Here is a 21,890-nt window from a genome sequence, read left to right on the forward strand (position 1 = left end):
CTGCTTGCAAGAACTAGCTAATAGTCTAACTCAGGGGTTGGCAAACTTCTGAAAATAGCCAGATAATACATATTTTAGGTTTTGCTGGCCACAAAGTCTGTCACAACCACTCTACTCTGCCATTGTAGCCTGAAAGCTGCTACAGTCAATATGTAAACAAACAAATGTGTATTCCAATAAAATTTTATTTATAAAACAGGCATTCAGCTGGATTTGGCTCACAGGCCATAGTTTGCCAACCTCTGATCTAATGGGGTAAAAAATTAAAAAGTACCAGATGAAGCTTACATAATATCTATCTTGTAAGTTTATTCTCCTCCCTGTCTGTACATACCGTTTCTCAGATCAAAAGGTAGAGCTCACTTTCCTTCTCTTTGAATTCTGACTTATAACTGAATATGACCACGAGAATAGCAATTTCAGAAGAAGAAATGATGTTCTGAGACCTTGAAGTCCAGGCTTTAAGAGGAATGGAAGTTTCTACTTTTGGCCTTTTGGAACGCAGTCACCATGCTGTGAGGATCCCAGATCATATGGAAAGACCACGTAGAGGAGAACAGAGGTGCTCCAGTTGGCAGCCCTAATTAAGCTCCTAGTGGACAGTCAGAACCAACTGTAAGCCATTTTGGATGTTCTGGATGTCCAGGTTGAACCCCCCCCAGTGACTGCAGCCCCAGGGAGTATCACATGGAGCAGAAGAACTGACTGAGCCTAGCCAACTTGCAGTGTCATGAGAGATAATATAGTCATTGTTTTAAGTAACTACATTTTGGGATGGCTTGTGATACAGTAGTAGATACTTAAAACATCTCACTATTGGTATTATTTGTGTCCAGTTATTCATGCCTACCAATGACATGGAATCATAACTATAAGAACAAACTAGTAGTGTTAGTGAATCACTAAACAGCTCATGAATTTTTGTCCTCACATTTCCTAGTCTGAGTCATATTATTCAAAATTCCATTCTGGATATCTTGTATAACACATTCCAGGAATATGTGTAATATATTCCAAGATTCTCTGAATGTGTAACTGGAGGATTGTTTAAGAAACTAAGATTACATTTTTTAAGAGTTGGAAAGTCAGAGAATCTATGATCTGGTATGTCTGGGTCTCTCCCCATCCGCAGAAGACACAAATGAAAGCTAGACAATCTGAAATTATCCTCCTCTCTCTTACATCAAGAAGCCTAGAAAGTATAATAAAAAGACACTAATAATTAAAAATTTTGGTTGTGATCAAAAAGATACAACATATTTATTATAGGCTTACTATGTCCTGTTTGTGATTCAAGGATTTATCTGGAATATCTCATTTAATTCTCCCAACAACCTTGAGAGATATTATATTCCCATTTTTCTGATGATGAAGTCAAGATTTGGTCATTGTATACAACTATAATGAACACTGCCAAGATTCAAACCTAGACTGTTTTTTTCCAGAGTACAGGTACGTATTAGTCCATTTTCACACTGCTATAAAGATACTACCTGAGACTGGGAAATTTATTTTTTTAAAAAAGATTTAATTCACTCAAAGTTTCACATGGCTGGGAAGGCCTCAGGAAACTTACAATCATGGCAGAAGGTGAAGGGGTTACAATCATGGCAGAAGGGGAAAGGGAAGAAAGGTACATCTTACATGGCATTGGTAGAAAGAGAGAATGTGCAGGGGAAACTCAACAAGATCTTCTGAGAACTCCCTCACTATCATGACAGCAGCATGGGGGAAACTGCCACCATGATCCAATCACCAGTTCCCTGCCTTGATATGTGGGGGTTACAGTTAGAGATGAGATTTGAGTGGGGATGCAGAGCCAAACCACATCATTCTGCCCCGGCCCCTCCCAAATCTCATGTCCTTTTCATATTTCAAAACCAATCTCATTCCTTCCCAACAGTCCCCCAAGGTCTTAACTCATTCCAACATTAACTCAAATGTCCTAGTCCAAAGTCTTATCTGAGACAAAGCAAGTCCCTTTTGCCTATGAGCCTCTAAAATCAGAAACAAATTAGTTACTTCCAAGATAAAATGGGGGTACAGGATTTGCCTATGAGACTCTAAATCAGAAACGAGTTAGTTACTTCCAAGATAAAATGGGGGTACATTCACATGATAAATGTTCCTATTGAAAAGGGAGCAATTGGCCAAAACAAAGGGCCTGCAGGCCCCATGCAAGTGTGAAACCCAGCCAGGGTTCTTAAAACTCCAAAATCTCTTTTGACTATATGTCTCACATCCAGGGCATGCTGATGCAAGGGATGGGCTTCCAAGGCCTTGGGCAGCTCTATCCCTGTGGCTCTACAGGGTACAACCCCTTTGGCTGCTTTCAGGGACTGGTGTTTAGTGCTTGCTGTTTTTCCAGGTACATGGTGCAAGCTGTTAATGGATCTACTATTCTGGAGTCTGGGGGATGGTGGCCCTCTTCCACTAGGCAGTGCCCCAGTGGGGACTCTGTGTGGGGGCTCCAATCCCACATTTTCCTTCTGCACTGCCCTAGCAGAGGTTCTCTATGAGGACTCTGCCCCTGCTGCAGACTTCTGCCTGGACATCCAATCCATACCTCCTCTGAAATCTCGGCAGAAGCTCCCAAAGCTCAACTCTTGTCTTCTGTGCACCCGCAGGCCAAACACCATGTGGAAGCTGCCAAGGTTTGGGGCTTGCACTCTCTGAAGCAATGGCCTGAGCTGTACGTTGGCACATTTTAGCCAGGCAGGAGCTGGAGCAGCTGGGACATAGAGCACCACATCCCAAGGCTGCACAGAGCAGTGGGATCCTGGGCCCGGATCATGAAACCATTTTCCTCTCTTAGACCTCCAGGCCTGTGATGGGAGGGGCTGCCATGAAGGTCTTTGACATGCCCTGGAGACATTTTTCCCCATTGTCTTGGCTATTAACATTTGGCTCCTTTTAACTTATGCAAATTTCTGCAGCTGGCTTAAATTTTTCCCCCCAAAATGGGCTTTTCTTTTCTACCACATGGTTAGGCTGCAAATTTTCCAACCTTTTACACTCTGCTTCCCCTTTAATCATAAGTTTCAATTTCAAACCATCTCTTTGTGAGTGTATATAACTGTATGCTTTCAGGAAAAATCAGGTCACCTCTTGAATGCTTTGCTGCTTAGAAATTTCTTCTGCCAGGTACTCTAAATCATCTCTCTCAAGTTCAAAGTTCCACACATCTCTAGGGCAGGGGGCAAAATGCCACCAGTCTCTTTGCTAAAGTATAGCAAGAGTCACTTTTATTCCAGTTCCCAACAAGTTCCTTATCTCCATCTGAGACCACCTCAGCCTGGACTTCATTGTCCATATCACTATCAGCATTTTGGTCAAAACCTTTCAACAAGTATCTAGGAGTTCCAAACTTTCCCACATCTTTCTGTCTGTTTCTGAGCACTCCAAACTGTTCCAACCTCTGCCTGTTACCCAGTTCCAAAGTTGTTTCCACATTTTCAGGTTATTTTTATAGGAGTATGCCACTATTCTGGTACCAATTATCTGTATTAGTCCATTTTCACACTGCTATAAAGAACTACCTGAGACTGGATAATTTATGAAGAAAAGGGGTTTAATTGACTCACAGTTCCACATGGCTGGGGAGGCCTCAGGAAACTTACAATCACGGCAGAAGGCAAAGGGGAAGCAAGGCACATCTTACATGGCAGCAGGAGAGAAAGAGAGAGCACAGGGGAAACTGCCACACACTTATCAAACAACCAGATCTTATGAGAACTCCCTCACTGTCACGAGAGCAGCATGGGGGAAACAACCTCCATGATCCAATCACCTCCCACCAGGTCCCTCCCTCAATATGTGGGGATTACAATTTGAGATGAGATTTAGGTGGGGACACAGAGGAAAACCATATCAAGGTGCCTAGCATCAGACCAATAATACCACAATGCATATCTGTTCTTAGCCCAAACTTTTCTGCTGAATGTGACCCCTGCATTTTGTGACCAAATGACTAGCCACGGTGGTTGGCTAGCACAGCAGAATGGCTAGAATCAGCCTAAGAAGAGCTCACTTTCATCCATACACTCACTGTTTCTAACTTGGAACCCTGATTTACAGGACAGTTAAAATGAGAATTCCTATCTTTAGATAAACTGAGTGGGGAAGGAGAAGAGGTGCTTTTCTGGGTGCCTCCGCTTCTGACTATTTCATCTTTGTACTTGGGCTTCAGTATTCAAACTGTCTACGTGAACAGCCGTTAATTCAGTCAACCTCAACACTCATCAAGTAGTGTATTATAAAACCCAGTTTATGTTGAAAATCCTATTCATGTGAATTTTTGAAAATGGAACATTGGAGTTTCAGAATGGCCACTTTTGGCAAAAATAGGGCTAAACAATGAAAGCAAATGAGAAAAATGTTTGACATTTTCCCTTCATATCTGAATTTGTGTGTTCCCACTGATGCCACATTCCTGAATATGAACTCAAACTCCTGCATTACACACAGCATGCTTCTGCCGGGCCCCATTATCTTTTCAGGCCCATTCATAATTTTAGTTATTGCTTTCTTGCCATTACAAAGGTTAGTGCAAAGTACACATCTCACAGGTCTATGGCTATAGCAAAGCTAAACAACTAATGTTCAGCTTTCATTGAATACTGAATATTAAGGGGCACAATGAAAAATTCTCATCTTTTCATCCTCTGGATGGAAACAACACCAGTGTATATAGAAAGCTATCTTTTCTTGCCTTTCCTATTTGACTTTCATCACTTCTTGATGTTTGGTAATTATTTCTCTACAAGTGCATTTTGCATGGTTCCCAGGTCCCTCCCTCAATCTGTGGCTAATACAGATTAATGTTGTCTCAGTCTAGCTTCAAATTGCATGCTGGTGTGATTTTCAGATTCTCACTCTTAACTAAAAGAACAAGTTTCAGAAAATTTCTTAACATGTTTATATATTTCTTGATTTGTGGCTAGTTCATCACAGGAGAGGCATAAAATTTAATATTTAAGAAAGGGTAATTTCACTAAGCCACAAAAAAATAAAACTTACACTCTCGTAAGGTAGAAATACAGGTTTACAATAAATATATATTTATTGATTGAATAAGTGTGAAAATACTTCAGTTAGCTAAAGAATTTCAAAAGTCTCCTTCTAGGCTTATGGAAAGTACATGCATGACATGATACATAGAAGTTAGAGAAGTCCTCATTTTGCCCCTTTCTTTTCTTTCTTCTTTGTGGTCACAGTTTATTGACTCTTTAAAATGATGGGATTTTACAGAATTCATACTATTACCTTTTTGCCTATGTTGTATAATATAGACAAAAGCTAAATAGTAAGTGAAGCGAAAGGCTGAGGATAGAAAGGAAACCTCATTCTTTCACTGATATTTTTTCCTCATGTTTGTGTTTTTCTTGTCTACCAATATAGGTCCACAACGTAAAATCAATAATTGGTCAGTTTTTTTAGAAACAGGTGGTTGAATCAAGGCTAGAGCAATATGAATAGAAAAAAAAATCAGAGATGTTACCTTTATAGATAGAGCATTTCCTAGTTGTTTTAAACTGTGGTAAGTTGCAAAATCTGTTCAAGACATTTCTCATAAAAACTGCTGTAAATGTGGAATGTTTACTATGTGCCAGATATTACACTAAGCACTCACAGACATATTTCATTTAAAACACAGGACCTCCTGAATCTATTTCTCAAATGGAGAGTCCAGATCCATTTGTTAAAACAGTTTAGTGGATCACGACTAGCATTAAAAAAAATAAATTAGATTGGAAAATAACATCGTGCATCATATATAATAATAGCAAATACTGCTTCTTAAAATGTTTGTTTCAGTGTATGTGCGTGTATGTGTGTGTGTACATGTGTATGCATGTGTGCACATGTACTGAGTCCTAATGTAAAATGTACTTTTTACTGATAGACACAATTGAAAAACTTCAGAAGTCCTGCGCTATAATGTCATAGTATTATATTAATTTTTACAGGAAAAATAAGAACAAAATAAAAAAATCCAGCTTTATAATTCGAACTTCCAAAGTTCCCCAATGAATTAGTTTCCACAGAGTTTTTAATGGAGACTAAGATAATGTTATCATTGCACGTTGCTTCCTGTCTCTCTCATGGTTTGCATTTATTTAGCATCCAGGCAGGCCTAACACGGGGTGATTAAATCTCCTCCTCAGATCAGGCCATCTGTGCCATTGAGTAAGTGAGATACTTCAAATAAGTGAATGATGAATTCTGTTCCAGACTGTCCCATAAAATTATAATAAAAATAATAATGAAGTGCTCTATAATAAAAAGAAAGTCATTACAAATACCGTGCTATTGATTTCAAAGGGCAGTAATTTTAGAGGAGCTCTTTCATCTGTGTTATAAATCTCGGCAACCAGCGGAGAAAATGTCAGGATTTTAAAAGCAAACAAATAGAAAAAAAAAATGCCTTCCTGCTCATCTTTCATGCTGTTTTGAGTAAAACTAAGGTAGCACAAATATTTAAACAGATGGCTCAATGATATGCTTTTTTCTTTACTAATCATAGTTATTAAAGCACTCACTTCATTTTTATTGTGTTTTAAACGGGCAGAGAAAATCTGAGTCTGATAATGACCTTTGTACATCATGCTGCAAATTGATTTTGATGACCTTTCACTCTCCGATAATTAGGCTGGCTTCATCTCCCTCCCTCCCTCCACTCTCCAAGTGCGTGGTGCGGTGTTTTTCCTGCCTGCCCCTCCAAACCCTATTCCCCTCCCCCTAGCTTTGTCTCTCCCATTGCTGGATTGGGTTTCTTTCTCCTCTCTGAAAGCCACAGATTCTTGAATAAAGAATGAATAGAGGTATTTAGAGGCTGACAAAAAAGAAGAATAGTTATTTTACTGATGTTTTGAATGATCAAATATCTGAATTGTCATGTAATTATGACCATTACAATGATGTCATTGCCATAGTCATTTGGCGATTGTGTACATTGTGTTGAAGACATTACCACATTGAATTATACCTCAGTAGTTTAATGAATTTTATAAGGGTGTTTCTTTGTGACTAATGTGAACAGATGGTAGAAGTGGAAAAGAAATAAACTATGCCTCATTTTCCTTTACATTTTCTTTGTATTATGCTCTGAAATTAAGAACACTAGACTAACACACATTTATACACATATTTTAAAATTATAACCTTTAAAAATGCACTTCATCAGATACCTCTAAACCCCATATTTACTTTCTTTAGTGTTTTTTGTTTTTGCTTTTTTATTGTGGTAAAAATATAATATTATTTATTATTTAAGCCATTTTTAAATTCACAATTCAGTGGCATTAAGTACATTCACAATATTATACAGCCATCACCACTCTCCGTTTCCAGAACTCTTCATCATTCCAAACTTTTAGACATATTTTTAAACAACCACACATTTTTAGTCCATTAGGAAACATTTCTGTCTTTCTTACATGAGGTTCATTAAATCATATTCTTAATATAATTGTTTATGTATGAATCCCTAAGCCTGAGGTTCATTATGAATGTATTTTCTTCAGGATTCAAGATTTCAGAGGACAGTTTATTGAGGACTAGTAAATCCAAGAAACTTTATAAGTGATAATAATATCTAACATTTATTTCTTCTGAGAGAAGCACTAAGCTAATTACTGCACATGTTAAGGGGAAAAATTAGATAATAAAAGGTCTCGTAAAACATTCTGTAAGGCAAAGTTGCTGTTATTATTATTATTATTAATTTGATGTTTCCTACAAGTATATATTGTGAACGTGAACCAAACCACAATAGTAAGATCATAACCAGACCTAGTCTTAAGGGTTTGCAGTTCCCTAAGTTAACTCTGTTTTTTCCCCTTGACTATTAGGATTGAACCCGGGAAACTGAAATCATACTATGATTTTTAAATGGAGGGAAGCCAGTGCAGGAAGTTGGGCATACAAGTGATAGAAATCCTGAAAACCTGTCAGGAGACCCTGAGGCAACCCAAGTATGAGCAACAACAGGAAGCCACTACAAGGCTGAAGGACCAAAGTGGTGGTGCTGTGTTATGGGAGCCCAGGAGTGGAAGTCACTTCATGCAAACTGAGGCCCTGAGGGAGGCGTAACCGTAATGAGAAATGCTTCCACAGAGAGACAGGAAGAGAAATAATCCTGACTTCTCTCTCTGCCTCATATGTTTTAATCTTCCTATGATTTTTTTCCATTGGCCAGACCTAACCAGAAGCCTTGTGATGAGGTAGCCTGGGACACACAGTCTAGAGGGAGGAGCAACTCTTTCCTTCCCGGTGTCACAAAGAGCAGAGCTGGAGAAGGGCAAGGAACAGATACTCGGTCGAAGACCAGCACTAAATTTCCAACTCAGGAAATACCCTCCTTTAACAAAGGCGAAAAGAGGAAAATGTAGAACGATTGTTGGAGGAGATGATGAGCCGTGCTTTGAGAAAGCTTCTCAGGGAAGATGACACCTGTCAACTTTCTTATCTGTGAATCTTTTCTTTTCCTCCTTCCTGACATCCAATCCATAGATAAGTCTTATCTGTACACTCCAAAACATGTTTCACAGCCAACTACTTCACCACTTCCATTGCTACCATGGTCCTCTCTTACTTGGATTTTTGCAATCATCTCCTAAATGTTTTTATTGCTATTGTTCTCTTTTTAAAATTGAAGTAAAATTTACATACAATGATATGCACAGATTTTAAGTGAGTTTTGACAAACCTATCTGCCCATGTAACCAACACCTTGATCTCCTGTGTCCATTCATTTCAGTCAAATTCCACCCATTATGTGCAACCACCATTCCAATTTCTAACACCACAGATTTATTGTATCTGTTATTAAATTTCACATAAATAGAATCGTACAGTATGTATCTTTGCACATCTGGCTTTTTTACTCATTATAATGTTTTTGAGATTCATCCAGGTTGTTATATGCATTATTAGTCATGTTTTTGTCAATTTCTGATTAGAATTCCATTTTATGAATATACTGTAATATGTTTATCCATTCTCCTGTTGATAGACATTTGGATTGTTTCCTACTTTTTGCTATGAGTAAAGCTATTATAAACTTTCAAGTACAAGTGTTTTGGGGCAATTAGATAAATCCTTAAGAGTGAAATTCACTGACCGTATGATAAATGTAGCATATAATAAAATGCTCAACTGTATTCTGAAATGCTTGTACCATTTTACACTCTCACCATCATCAATATTTGAGCATTCAGGTTGCTCCACTATCTTGACAACATGGTATTACCAGTATTTTAAATGTAGCTATTTTAGAGGGTGTGAAGTGGTATCTTATTGAAGGTTTAATTTTCATTTATCTGACAATAAATAATTTTGAGATTTTTATGTGCTTTATGGCCATTCATATATTTTCTTTTGTGAAAGGTCTGTTCAAGTTTTTCTTTCTTATGTATTTGTCATTTAAGTGAGTTTTAGTAGTTCTTCATATATTCTGAATATAAGTCCTTTATCATTTATATATATATAACAAATATTTCTTCTAGTCTGAGCCTTGTATTTTTATCTTATTAAAGCTGGGTTGTTAGGTTTAATTTTGCTGAAATCAAATTTTTCTTTTTTTTTCTTTCTTTTTTCTTTTGTCTTTTATGGTTGGTGCTTACCATTTTCTTTCTTTCTTTCTTTCTTTTTGAGACAGAAGCTAGCTCTGTTACCCAGGGTGGAATGCGATGGAGCGATCTTGTCTCACTGCAACGTCCGCCTCCGAGGTTCAAACAATTTTTCTGCCTCAGCTTCCCGAGTAACTGGGATTACAGGTGCCCGCCACCTTGCCCAGCTAGTTTTTGTATTTTTAATAGAGACGGGGTTTTATCATGTTGGCCAGGCTGATCTTGAACCTCTGACATCAAGTGATCCACCCTCCTTGGCCTCACAAAGTGCTGGGATTACAGGCGTGAGCCACCGTGCCTGGCCCTATTTTCTCTTTAAGAAACCATTGCCTACCCCAAGGCCATAAGGATATTCTGTTATATTTTCCTCTAGAATTTTAAGACTTTAGCTTTTACATTTAGGTCTATGATTCATCTTTATTTAATTTTTGTGTATTATTTGAGACAGGGGTCAGGATTCATGTTTCTTTCATACATTTATCCAGTTGTTGCAATGCTACTTGCTGAAAAACCTTTTTTTCATATTAAATTCCCTCGATCTTTTGTTGAATAAAAAATAGACCTGTACGTATACACATCTATTTTTGGACTCTGCTGTTTTATTGAACTATATCTCTGTCCTTATTTGTCTGTAACTTTCTTGTTGCTGTACTGTAGCTTTGTAATAAGTCTTGAAGTAAGATAGTGAATGTTCTCCAACTATCTTCCTCTTTTTCAAAGATATTTTAGATTTTTTGCATTTCCCTGTATATTCTAGAATCAGCTTGTCAATTTCTACATAAAGGCCTAGTTAGATTTCTGATTAGACTTGTATCACACGTTAATTTGGGGAGTAATTGACACCTTTTCATCATTGAGTCTTCAAATCCATTAACACAGCATATGTCTTAGCTAGCTTGGGCCGCTACAACAAAATACAATAAACTGGGTGGCTTATAAACTATGAAATTTATTTCTCACAGGTCTGCTGGCAACAGGTTCTTTCAGCTTTTGTTTATCTAAAAATGCCTATTTCATGTTACATTTAAAAAAATGTTTTATTTGGAATACTTTGTACTATTTATTTGTATTTTCTCACATTAGAATGTGAGCAGTAGGAGGTTGGAAGCCTTATCTTGTTTACTTCTCTATTCACTTTACCTGGAATTGTGACTGCCATGCAGTATTGGCCAATTTGTTGGAAGAAAAGAAGGAAGGAAGAAAAAGAAAAAAAGAATGGAAAAATGAGTAGGGAGGAAAAGAAGGAAGAAAGGACAGAAGAAGAGAAGAAGGAAGAAAGAAAGGAAAACGGAAGGCAAGAAAATTAATTGGCATTGCTATTTATGGCCTCTGTGAAAATGTTTGTGTTTGGCAGTTTCTTGAAACATCAGTTGTATTCATCTGGTGTTTGAGTGCCACAAATTAGTTTGCTTAAAATAGCAATAAAAAATATCTGGCAATTGCTGGGCACTGTGGCTTAAGTCTATGTAATCACATTGGGAGACTGAGGCGGGAGGATCCCTTGAGCCCAAGAGCTCAAGACCAGCGTGGGCCACATGGCGAAACTCCAAGTCTACAAAAAATACAAAAATTAGCTGGGCATGGTGGTGCCTGTAGCTCCAGCTATTAGGGAGGCTGAGGTGGGAGAATCACTTGAGCCCAGGAGATGGAGGTTGCAGTGAGCAGAGATGGCGCACTACACTCCAGCCTGGGTACAAAGCAAGACCTGTCTTAAAAAAAAAATTATATATATATGTATACACATATGGCAAAAAAGAGGTAAAGGAAAATGCCAAATATATATAAGCTTTTAAAATTTATAATTCATTTTAAACTACAAAAAGACAATTTATGTCAACTGATCTGTGACAAAGGTGCCAAGGTCACATAATGGAGAAAGCAATCTCAAATAAGTGGTGCCAGGAAAATGGAATATCCACATGTAGAAAAATGAAATTGGGCCTTATCTCACCCCATATACAAAAATCAGCTTAAAAATGGGTTAAAGACTTAAACACAAGACCTGAAAGTATAAAACGACTGGAAGAAAACATAGAGGGAAAGCTTCTTTGACATTGGTCTTGGCAAAATATTTTTTAAAATATGACCTGAAAATATGACCTAAATAGACAAGTGAGATAACATCAAACTAAAAAGCTTGACAGAAACAATCAACAGAGTCAAGAGACAACCTACAGAATGGGAGAAAATATTGCAAATCATACATCTGATTTGGAGTTAAGATCCGAAATATATATGGAACTTAATATAAAAAAAATTAGGAAATGGTCAAATAACCTGCACAGACATTTCTCAAAGGAAGACACAAATGGCTAGCAGGTAATGGAAAAAAAATGCTTAACATCACTAATCAAAAGAGAAACACAAGTTACAACCACAATGAAATATTACCTCACACCTGTAAGAATGGCTTTTGTAAAAGTGTGAAATACAATTTCCTTCTTTTCTCTCCAATTTTCTTTAAAATCTCTTTACTCTCTAAGAGTCACCTTTTTTGAATGTTTATAGCTAGAAATAATCTACCATTAGCACCTTTTCGCTTTATGGTTCTTATCACTCTTTAAAATGATTTAAATATTTGGTTAAGTGATAAAATGTTTCATATTACCCGGATCTAGTCAAATTTTTTAATTGGCTGGGCTGTACATTATTACACTATTTAGATATACCATGACTTAAAACATCTGAGTGATATTTAAGTTATTCCCCATTTTAAAATTATCATGTTTTAATATAATTATGTATCATTATGTTTTTATGTAATTTGTGTTTGTTTTTAATTTGTATTTGTTTCAGGGTCAGGAAAGTTAAGACTTTTTCATATGCTGACTAGCTATTTGTTTCTTTTCTTATAAAGTGCCCTCTTTTGTTCATTGATGTTTCTTGTTGTTTGTTTTTTGTGAGTTTGCTCTCTGTTTTAAAAATCAATTTGTAAAGCTTTTTCTCTAAATTTAGGTAATTAGCTGTGGGTCCTGTGTTTCTTGTTTGTTAAATGCTTTTTCCTTTTGTAATGTTTTAAGCTTTGCTGAAAGAGTGTTTTTTTTTTAGTGTTGTCTAAATTATCAAATTTATGGTTTCTGAATTTTGTGTCTGCTTAGAAAGACCATCTCCACCCTAAGTTATAAATAAATTCAGTCACGTTTTCATCCAGTTCTTTAATGGCTTCATTGTTTACTTTAAATCTTTGCTCCATCTGGAGTTTATTTTTATCTAAGTAGTGATTTGGAGATGTGGTTTTACTTTTTCCAAATGACTATATAGTTATCACAGATTTATTGAAAATTTTATCTTTACCCACACTGGTTTGAAATGCTCTCTTTATGGTAATTTCCGTATGTATTTGGGTGTGTTTCTGGACTTTCTTTTCCATTGATGCTTTTGTGTATTCCTGGCCTATTACTGAAGTGATATGAACTGCAGCTTTACCGTATGTTTTATTATCTGGTACAACTCCTTATTCTTCCTCTTTATAATCCAGCTAGTTTTATATATTTACTTTTCAGGCTACTGTAGTGACAGTTTTATTTTGTAGATTTTAGAGTGTTCTTTTTTTTCCCCAAAAGAAATGATGATTTAACATTGAGCTCTTATTTCTAAGAACAAGATAAATTGCAATTTATTGAAGGCATACAGTATGTCTTTCCATAGATTCTGAAAAATGTTCACCTTGTAATGTCCTACACATTCCATATAAAGTTTGTTTTTATAAAGATCTTTCTGTTTGGGACTGTGATTGAGATCTTTTCTTCCATTATATTTTTAAAGTGGTTATTATTTATATATGAGAGTTTATATTTATTAACTATATAAATATCATAATGTCTTCATTTGTAACAAATTTCTAGTTCATTCTATTTTTTCACATATGCAATTATATTATCTGTAAACAACACTTTATCTTTTATTTTTAAATATTTATAATCTGTTTCAGATTAGTATAATTGTTGGTAGTACTGCTCATCTGGGTCCAAAATCAGATATTGCCAAGTTAGTGAAACGTTCTGATCCTCAGTTTTCTCATCTGTAAAATGCTGAGAAGGGCAGCACTTACCCCAAAGGGATAATATAATGATCCAGTTAGTAAGTGTACAAAGCAATTAGCAAAATGCCGAGAACATAATAAGCATTTACAAATGTTAATCATTGTTTTATTTTTTCTCAAAGTTAATTACAGAGTCTAGTCTTTTATTATCATCATTAAATAATATTAATAGCAATTTTAAATGACTTTTAATGTTGATATGTGGAATGGCCTAATGGTCTATGTGCAGAGTATTGATTATAGTATAGTGAACATAGAGTCTAGATTTTCTAGAGCTACCACAGCGTGCAATTTTATTATTTTAAATAAAGGCAATAAATTATTATGAATCTAGATGGCACTTAATTTTATGTTTCTGTGAGATATAAATATAAGTGAATTCACAAAGTGGAAAAAGAATGATGATAGTAGGAAGCTTTGATTAATATTTCATTCTTTAATGGAAATATTTATTACTTTGTATTTATATCCTAAATATTTATTTACGCTTTATCTTTCCTGATTTTAAAAAAGTAGGCATCATACTTAGTTGACTGATCTGCAGCGTCAGTTGAGAAAATTGACAGAACCTTATATGGCGTGTTGCCCCAAAAAGACATTCAATAAATATTGTTTGAGTAAAGGCACAAATAAATAAATCTAACGATTAAGAAATAAATGGACTCAGAGAGTATATATTTTTTTCCAGATTCCACAGGATGCGAGCATATGCAGTGGAAACATTGTGTTATTCCATCCTCAGAAGAAAAGAGACAGTATTATACTTCGTCTCTTGCTAGTACAGGTAACATTCTTTATTAAGAGAAATATATTTAATCAGGAGTCACTATGTGCAAAAACATTAAGTAGAGGCTTAAAATGTTAAATACTCTTTCATCAAGGAAGGTTTTGTTTTTTTTTTTCCTTAATGCACATGTGTTAAATCTTACTCTAATCAGCTAGTTTTTTTCTTTTACTCAGAGTGGAAATTGCGGGTATCTTGTTTTTACTGTAAAACCTGATTTATATGCCTCAGCTAAATGCAGAGATTTCATTTGTGAATGCTAGTCAGTGATTTATTTCATTGTTTTCTTTTTTGGACAAGTCACAGCAAAATATTTTTTTTTCAAGCAGGATGGCATTAACCTTTTCTGATTGCAAAGCCACTCTCCTAGCAATATCAATAATACTTTGTCATTTCGGTCAGTTACTTTACTACATTTGGTAAACAAATAAATACAGCCCTACATATCAAAAAACTAAAATGACCAGTTTGAGAATCAGCCCTTTGATAATCATCTACAACAGATTTTGGAGCCTCCGTAATATTTCAAAGAATTGGCCTTTTTCCAGTTGCTGCTGATATTGGGATTTGAGTTAATTGCCGATGCATCTCAAACAACAGAGCAGGTGCTAGTGGAAAGAACATTCCCTGTATTTTCTTTGTTATTTATAGTCAGAGCTCTTCTCCACTAAACCCTTGAGCTGGCTTTTTAGAGCCCACTGTATAACAATTTCATTCACTTTCATGTCAACAAGCTTTGGCTTGATAAATTAAAATGGAAAAATGCTGGCTAAAGCACCACAGCCCTACATGATTCATTTTGCTGCAAGTTTCTGGCAGCTGCCCAAGAATGACCTACTATCTTTCTAGTGTCCTTATCATTTTCCCATCTGGAAAGGGCTAAACCTTACTGTACACTGGGGAGTTAAGGGCCTGTGCAGGCTGCATTTGAAGGCCATTAACAATCATAACTCTACAAATCATCACCCTCTTCCAGGCAAGGTTAGGACTACTCTATAGGATAGTTAGGAAGGTCAATATTTTACTTTTATTTAAATAAATACAAAAAAGGGCACAATGTCTTTAATTACCTAGGACTGCATGCTAACTCGAACCGTTATATTTTTAAACATTTTGATCTGTCTTATAATTAACCAAAGGTAATTTAGAGGAGCCCATCCTAAATTATGTAACTTCTGATATTAGCTGTGAATTTACTATTAAGCTAAGTTATTTATTTATTCACTTAATCTTCCTTTATACAAATGGATTTTCTTTATGGAGTCATAGGTAGGATGGCTATTTTAGTGATTATTTTAACAATTAACTATCAAGTTGCAAAAGCTATTAGGGAAAAATACCTTATTTTTGAAAAGAGAGGCTAAATGATGGAAGAATCATTATAAACTCTAGTTACAAGCTTGTCCAACCCATGACCCACAGGCTGCATGCAGCCCAGGATGGCTTCGAATGCAGTCCAACACAAATTCGTAAACTTTCTTAAAACATTATGAGACTTTTTTTTTTTTGCTCATCAGCTATCATTATTGTAAGTGTATTGTATGTGTGGCCCAAGGCAATTCTTCTTCCTTCCACACTCCTGCTAATTATAGCAAAGTTTTATCATTTATAAGTAGGGTTTCTTAACTAATACTATGTGTAGATTATAAGTAAATTAAGTTTAAAACCTGATACTAACTGAGGATTTATCACCCAAGAAATTGTCGAAGCATAAATATGAGGCTGTGAATTCTAAACAATTACAACTTTTAGGAAATGAAAGCTCCCTTGTTACTCGATATTTAAACTAACAATTTAAGGCTTTCAGCAGTGAACTTATAATGCACGTTGGTAATTGTTAGTCTTGTCTCTAAAGTGGAAAAAGATGTAGAGATGGCCAGGATCTTTGACCAGCCATCATTGCTAGGGTAATGAGGAAGAGCTAAACACAGAGGGCAAAGCCAAGCAAAATGCTCACTCTTTTTTTTTTTTTTTTTTTTTTTTGAGATGGAGCCTCGCTCTATCACCCAGGCTGGAGCGCAGTGGCGCGCAAATTATCTCCCTGCTTGCCACCCCAAACTGGTCATTTGTTTAGGAAATGTAACCACTTGCAGGGGCTGCTGGGTGGTTAGAAAAGTCCAGAAACTTGAATCTTGAATCCTGTCTGGCAACTGAAACACTGGAAGGCTGCGGAGAAAAGGAAGGGAAGAAAATGCAGTTTCAAAATTAGTGTTGCTGGTATTGAATTCTGCCTAGAAAGATGCTTATTTGGGGGTGGGGTGGAGGAGGTGGCAAAAAAACTTCCAATGGGATTTTGTTTTTATAAAGGTAAACTCAAGATATAATCCTGGAATGGAAACTGAGAGTTAAATGTCTGTGAATAATAATGAAAGAGGTAAACGTCACGGTGAATAGAATTGAGACAGTAGGGTAATTCTATACCTGTGTGGCAGATCTGAGAATGGCCTGTCAGCACCTCTGTGAGGCTTGAGACTCAGGGTCGGGGCAGTAACTCCAGGCTAAGAAGAATATAGTCAAAGACTCTCCCACTGCAAGGGAATTTTCAACTTTTCATTCAGTCATTTAACTAATATTCATTCACTGGGCACCTACCTTATGCTGACATTGTCTAACTGGGCAATGGTCATAAAGAATCCTTGGGATTGGGTATGGCCCTGAGAGTGTAAGAGCAGGAATGCTTACCTAATTTATTTCTGTTTGTTTCTTTTCCTTTTCTTTTTTTCATGTCACTTCTATACTCTTGAGCTGTTACTAAAGTTTTATTAAACCCCACAGCCTTGTTGTAGATTGTGGTTAAGAATTTAAGAGAGGAATGTTTTTTAGCTTAAAAGCAAAGTGACATGACAATATAAAATTGCCGATATTAAGAGAAAAAAGAGAATCGTTTTATGTGATAGCAATAGATGGCCAGAAAGAATGGGGCAAGACAGCAGCTTGCTAGAGTAACCAACAACCACAGAATAAAGCTGTGGCCCATATCAACCCTCCTCAAAAGAGTCTCAGAAATGCTTCTAAGGAGTGCCTAAATGGCCAATACTGCCCTCAGATTTAAGCAAGTGAGGTCTTTTTGGTGCCTGGGCTTGGTTAGGCCAACCGTTCCTTTGGGATAAGGTGACCTGAATCTGCACCAGGGATGCATGAGCCCTGGTCCATGTTTTTTCCTTTCAGGGTATTCTCCCACCATTTTACCCCCACCCCACCTTTAACAAGGGTTGATCAGATGCTTCTAAGGAGCATCAAGACCCTCATCTATGGGACATCCCAGGGGCCTGTGTCCAGGACCTTGTTTCCGGATGGTGGAGCTATGCAGAGTGCTTTTTTTTTTTTACTGGCCAGCCTGCTTTTTCCAGGCAGGATCATGCAGAGTTGGGCCTAGAGAATGGTATTGACAAGCTGACACATCCTCATTCACATGAGGCGCAGAACGATTTCAGCATTCTGTCTTGCCTACCATCTACCGTTGACTTTTAAGTTTCAAATGCATGTGAAGGCCATGTGTTGGCTCTTTGAGTTTTCACCACAGCATCACCTCAAGTCCAGCACACAAAGGTGGTGAGGGGCTGCCATGGTGTTATTTACTCTGTATGTACCCTCAGTGGCACCTAGGATTGTCAGTCCACCCCCTCACCAGGCAGTCTTAGGGGAGCGGACTTATCTCTTCAGAGGACAGACAAGTGCTATGCAAAGCCAACAGGCCCTTCATTTGATATCCTCTTTTGCTTCTTACTGATGCAGTGATGTTTTACTCACCCTGGTCTGTCTTTAGCTGTACCACATGAGGAACAGACATTTCTTGTGAGAATGAGACTGTTCTGTCCACCCTACCTAAGGGCTTTTGCCTATTGTCCCTGCTGGTTGTGGTATATGGAAGTCGAGAGAGCAGTCAACATTGAAACCAATCAGATTATAGGAGTGCTATGATTATGACCTACTCAGTTGGGAGATGTGTAGTTCTATGTTTTTACAATGTAAATTTTTGTATGGTACATTTAACATGCCCAGAAAACAAAACGTGGTTCGCATTTTTTTCTGCATACCCTGGATATTCTTGTATTGTGGTCGTCATCAACAAAGCTCAGTAACGACTGTTGAAAGGGTCATTGGAAGCCATTATCCACAGAGAGCAGGAGGGATAATGCAGTGGTATGACTAATGATGGAACCAGCAGTAAGTGAATGGTATTAGATAATTACAGAGGCAAGAAGGTCTATATTGTTTCAATACAAACAGTTTCTAAAGAGCGTGGCATTATTGGTAATAATGTTGTTGCTACCTCTTTTCTCCCAGTGGGAGATATGAAATTAGACAGGGATGGCACACTTGGCAATAAAGGGACACAAGAGATGGTTCTTGTGTCCTGGCTCATCTTGGACAGCTATTATGGCTGAGGATTCTTTTAGTTTGAGCAAATGGGCCTAAAATCTTTGATTTCAAGTCAGTCTCATGTGTACCTTTTCCTCAGGTCTAATTCTTGACCATGGTGCTTGAGGCTATCCAGTGGTCAGAATAGATGAAGAAGGAGGAAAAGAAAGAAGAAGAAGGAAGAAGAAGGGAAAAAATTAAAAGAAGGAGGAGGAACAGATAAAGGATATACCAAGGGGGAAAAAAATGGTTCTTCTCAAGACAAAGGTCAAACATTTGAGAACTTTTAGGGGCCTCTGCAGGCTGCATAAATGAGTGTACAGCAGATGGGCTGAGATAATAAGGAGCGGTAGGAATTCTGGCTTAGTTTACATTGAGCTCCAAACAGTTATTACTATGAAAGATGCTGGGCCCAATTTTGCTAAATCTTTCAAATTTTCAAGAGAAGCTAAAATCAAATTGTTAGGTGAAATACTACTAGTTTTAAATACTGGTAACTAATTAAGACACTAAAAGTTCTGTGTGAACTTTAGGAGGTGTCTGGCTCACCTACATTCAGTTTGCCAGCTTAGCCCCAAGACCTGGAGAACAGTATAGGTTGGCAAGCCAATGACACCCAAGCCTTCCAAGAACAGGGAAATCCCTGTCAAGCAGGAGATACGGCAACTTTTGGGAAAGGAAATAGGAAATGATATCAAGAAATACAATCCAAAGAGAGTTGAAAATCAAGCATTCTTGATTAATTCTGTTATCCCTTCTAAATCCCTGCTCCCCAGCACTATGGCCCTGGATAGCTTTTTGCTTCTTCCTGGATGTAAAGTGGGAGAAGGGAATGTTGGAGTTTGGTGCCTTTCTGGGATAGTGAAAGACGGCCTGTGACCTTCAGGATGTTGTGTTAGAGACAGGGATTGAATCTAATTGCAAAGACATAATTTTTGAGGTTTTGGATGAAGAAGGATTTGGGGGAAAGTCCCCAAGGCAACTGGCCTGATGTGGACAGAAACCATTTTAAAAGCACCTCTCTTCAAGCACATGCGCTCATTGGGGCTCTGGGAAGGGTGAGGGATCAGGTTACATTGCTCAGACTAAACCAGCCATCTTAACTACACGTCAGTAGTTGGAGATATATATATATATATATATATATGTGTATATACACATCTCCAAATACACGCACACACACACACACACACACATATACATATATGCATGAAAATTAACTATGAAATAGGTTTAATAGAGACCCTTGGGAAATCATAGCCAAAATTGATGCGGCATTTACTATAGGCTCTAAGGTCTTTTGCATGTATTAACTCATTTAAATTTCACTATAGCCCTAAGGGGTTGGTGGTATTTTTATACTCCTTTTTCCAGGTGAAAATACTGATGAAAAGAGAAATTAATCACTTGCCCATGGTCACACAGCCAACAAACAGGGAACCCAGAAAAGCCAGGCAGGTTGGCTGCAAAGTCTGGGTCCATAACTAGATGATTTATCTGTAAGAGTGTATCTGTCTTTTCCCCGTCGATTTACTTAAGTTGTAAAATAAAAATCAACTGCTAATCAAGGGTGAAGAATATTAACTAGGGTTGGTAAATCAGAAGAAAAGTAAGATCACCAAGTGCTCTTTCTCAGGTTCAGATTGTTTTTTTAGCCAGGAGGCAGAGGCACTCTAGGGGAGCAGAGAGCAAAAGGACAAGTGAAATTCTTGCTATGGGAAATAATTCAGTCTTTCCTGTGTTGAGGGAACAGTTCAGGGAAACTCTTGGTCACTGTGGAAGTGGTAAATTGGCCGGGAAAATTAAGCTCTTCCCTCTTATGAACAAAGAAGAAGAAGCTAGTAAATTGGGGCTGAGTTAAAGTTTGGGGTAATACTGAGGGAGAGAGAAAGTCAATTTTAGATTAGCAGATGTCATATTGGTTGAATTTAATATTTTCCTCTTTGAACTCTTCTCTTTCATAGCACACTGTGATAAACATTAAACAAAATGTAGTTTTTCAGAAAAACTGTTTATTGGGCAACTCCGTTTGCCAGTCTCTGCGCTGGCTTTGCAGGTGTGCTGTGAATCCTCATACGTTATTATTATTCATTTTACTGAGGATGAAGATGAGACTAAATTTAAATGACTTGCTTAAGACCACAGCTAATAAGGAGCTGAGTCAGAATTTGCAACTGTTTATTGCTACAAAATCTGCACTATTTTCATTGAATTAATTTGACTTACTCAATCCTTATTTATATGAAATATAAAATGCTCTCCAAAGCTATTCTCTAGTTTCCCCTTCTTATGCCTCTAGCTACTGAGCCCATACACTTTTGTTATAACCCTGAATTTTCTAAGTGATAAGGATGGTTTCCCAGCAAAATAACAGTGTTTTTTTTTCAATTAGGAATGAGTTTACAATTACCAGACCTTCACTAGACTAATTATCTTCTATTTAACAGGCTGTATCACAGTTTTTGTAGTGGGAAATGATGGCAGATTTTAAAAGATTATCTTAAAATTGCAATTCCTCTTTTTCTCTCTATAGAGCATGGCAACTGGCAACTAATCAGCTCACTAAACATGTGGCACTCAGATTCTGCCTTCTTTAGACATTGGCCACCATCCAAAGCAATGAATAGGAAGATTTTTCTTACAAGTGACAGAATGCGTATTTAAAAAGTATCCATAAAAACTTTATCCAGAAAAGTAACTTGCTGAATTGATAATATTTTTTATAGTCATGCAGTGAAGTGTATTACACAGAGTATTTGTACATTTTGATAAGATTGTTCTATACCATGTCTTTTTAATGATTCTTCCAAGTGCATCAGTCTGGTTGCAAAGCTAATGGGTTGAGGTTGTCTGTGAAGAACTGGTCCAAACCCCTGGAGAAATTCTCTGACAGCACATAGTTGAAATCCTATTATGGCTGCTCCATAGCCAAATATTTGAGGCACCGATCAATGCTGGAAGTATAAGACAGAAAGAGGTGCAGAATGAGATTGAGGGCTCTTCATACAGCCTGTTGCTCTTTCACTTTTATTTGGTTGTATAAGCATTAAATAAAATTTTAAAAAGAGGA

At 37.1% G+C, this 21,890-nt stretch overlaps 1 long non-coding RNA gene across 1 annotated transcript in view, besides 1 other annotated feature; it reads left to right on the top strand.

Moving 5' to 3' along the window:
- The window catches only part of LOC101927421 (uncharacterized), a 330,904-nt gene that overhangs the window by 274,159 nt on the left and 34,855 nt on the right, over positions 1–21,890 (top strand). The window contains exon 5 of the long non-coding RNA NR_109882.1: positions 14,363–14,458. This is a non-coding gene — a long non-coding RNA (uncharacterized LOC101927421). The remainder of the gene's footprint in view (positions 1–14,362; positions 14,459–21,890) is intronic.
- Positions 4,481–7,505: an enhancer, noted in NCBI's record as "VISTA enhancer hs1643". NCBI's record gives its function as "enhancer in: forebrain[4/4] | other[3/4]" and the evidence as "EXISTENCE:transgenic organism evidence [ECO:0001131][PMID:17130149]".

This window comes from Homo sapiens, chromosome 5 (assembly GCF_000001405.40).
Source record: "Homo sapiens chromosome 5, GRCh38.p14 Primary Assembly".
Lineage (NCBI taxonomy): Eukaryota > Metazoa > Chordata > Mammalia > Primates > Hominidae > Homo > Homo sapiens.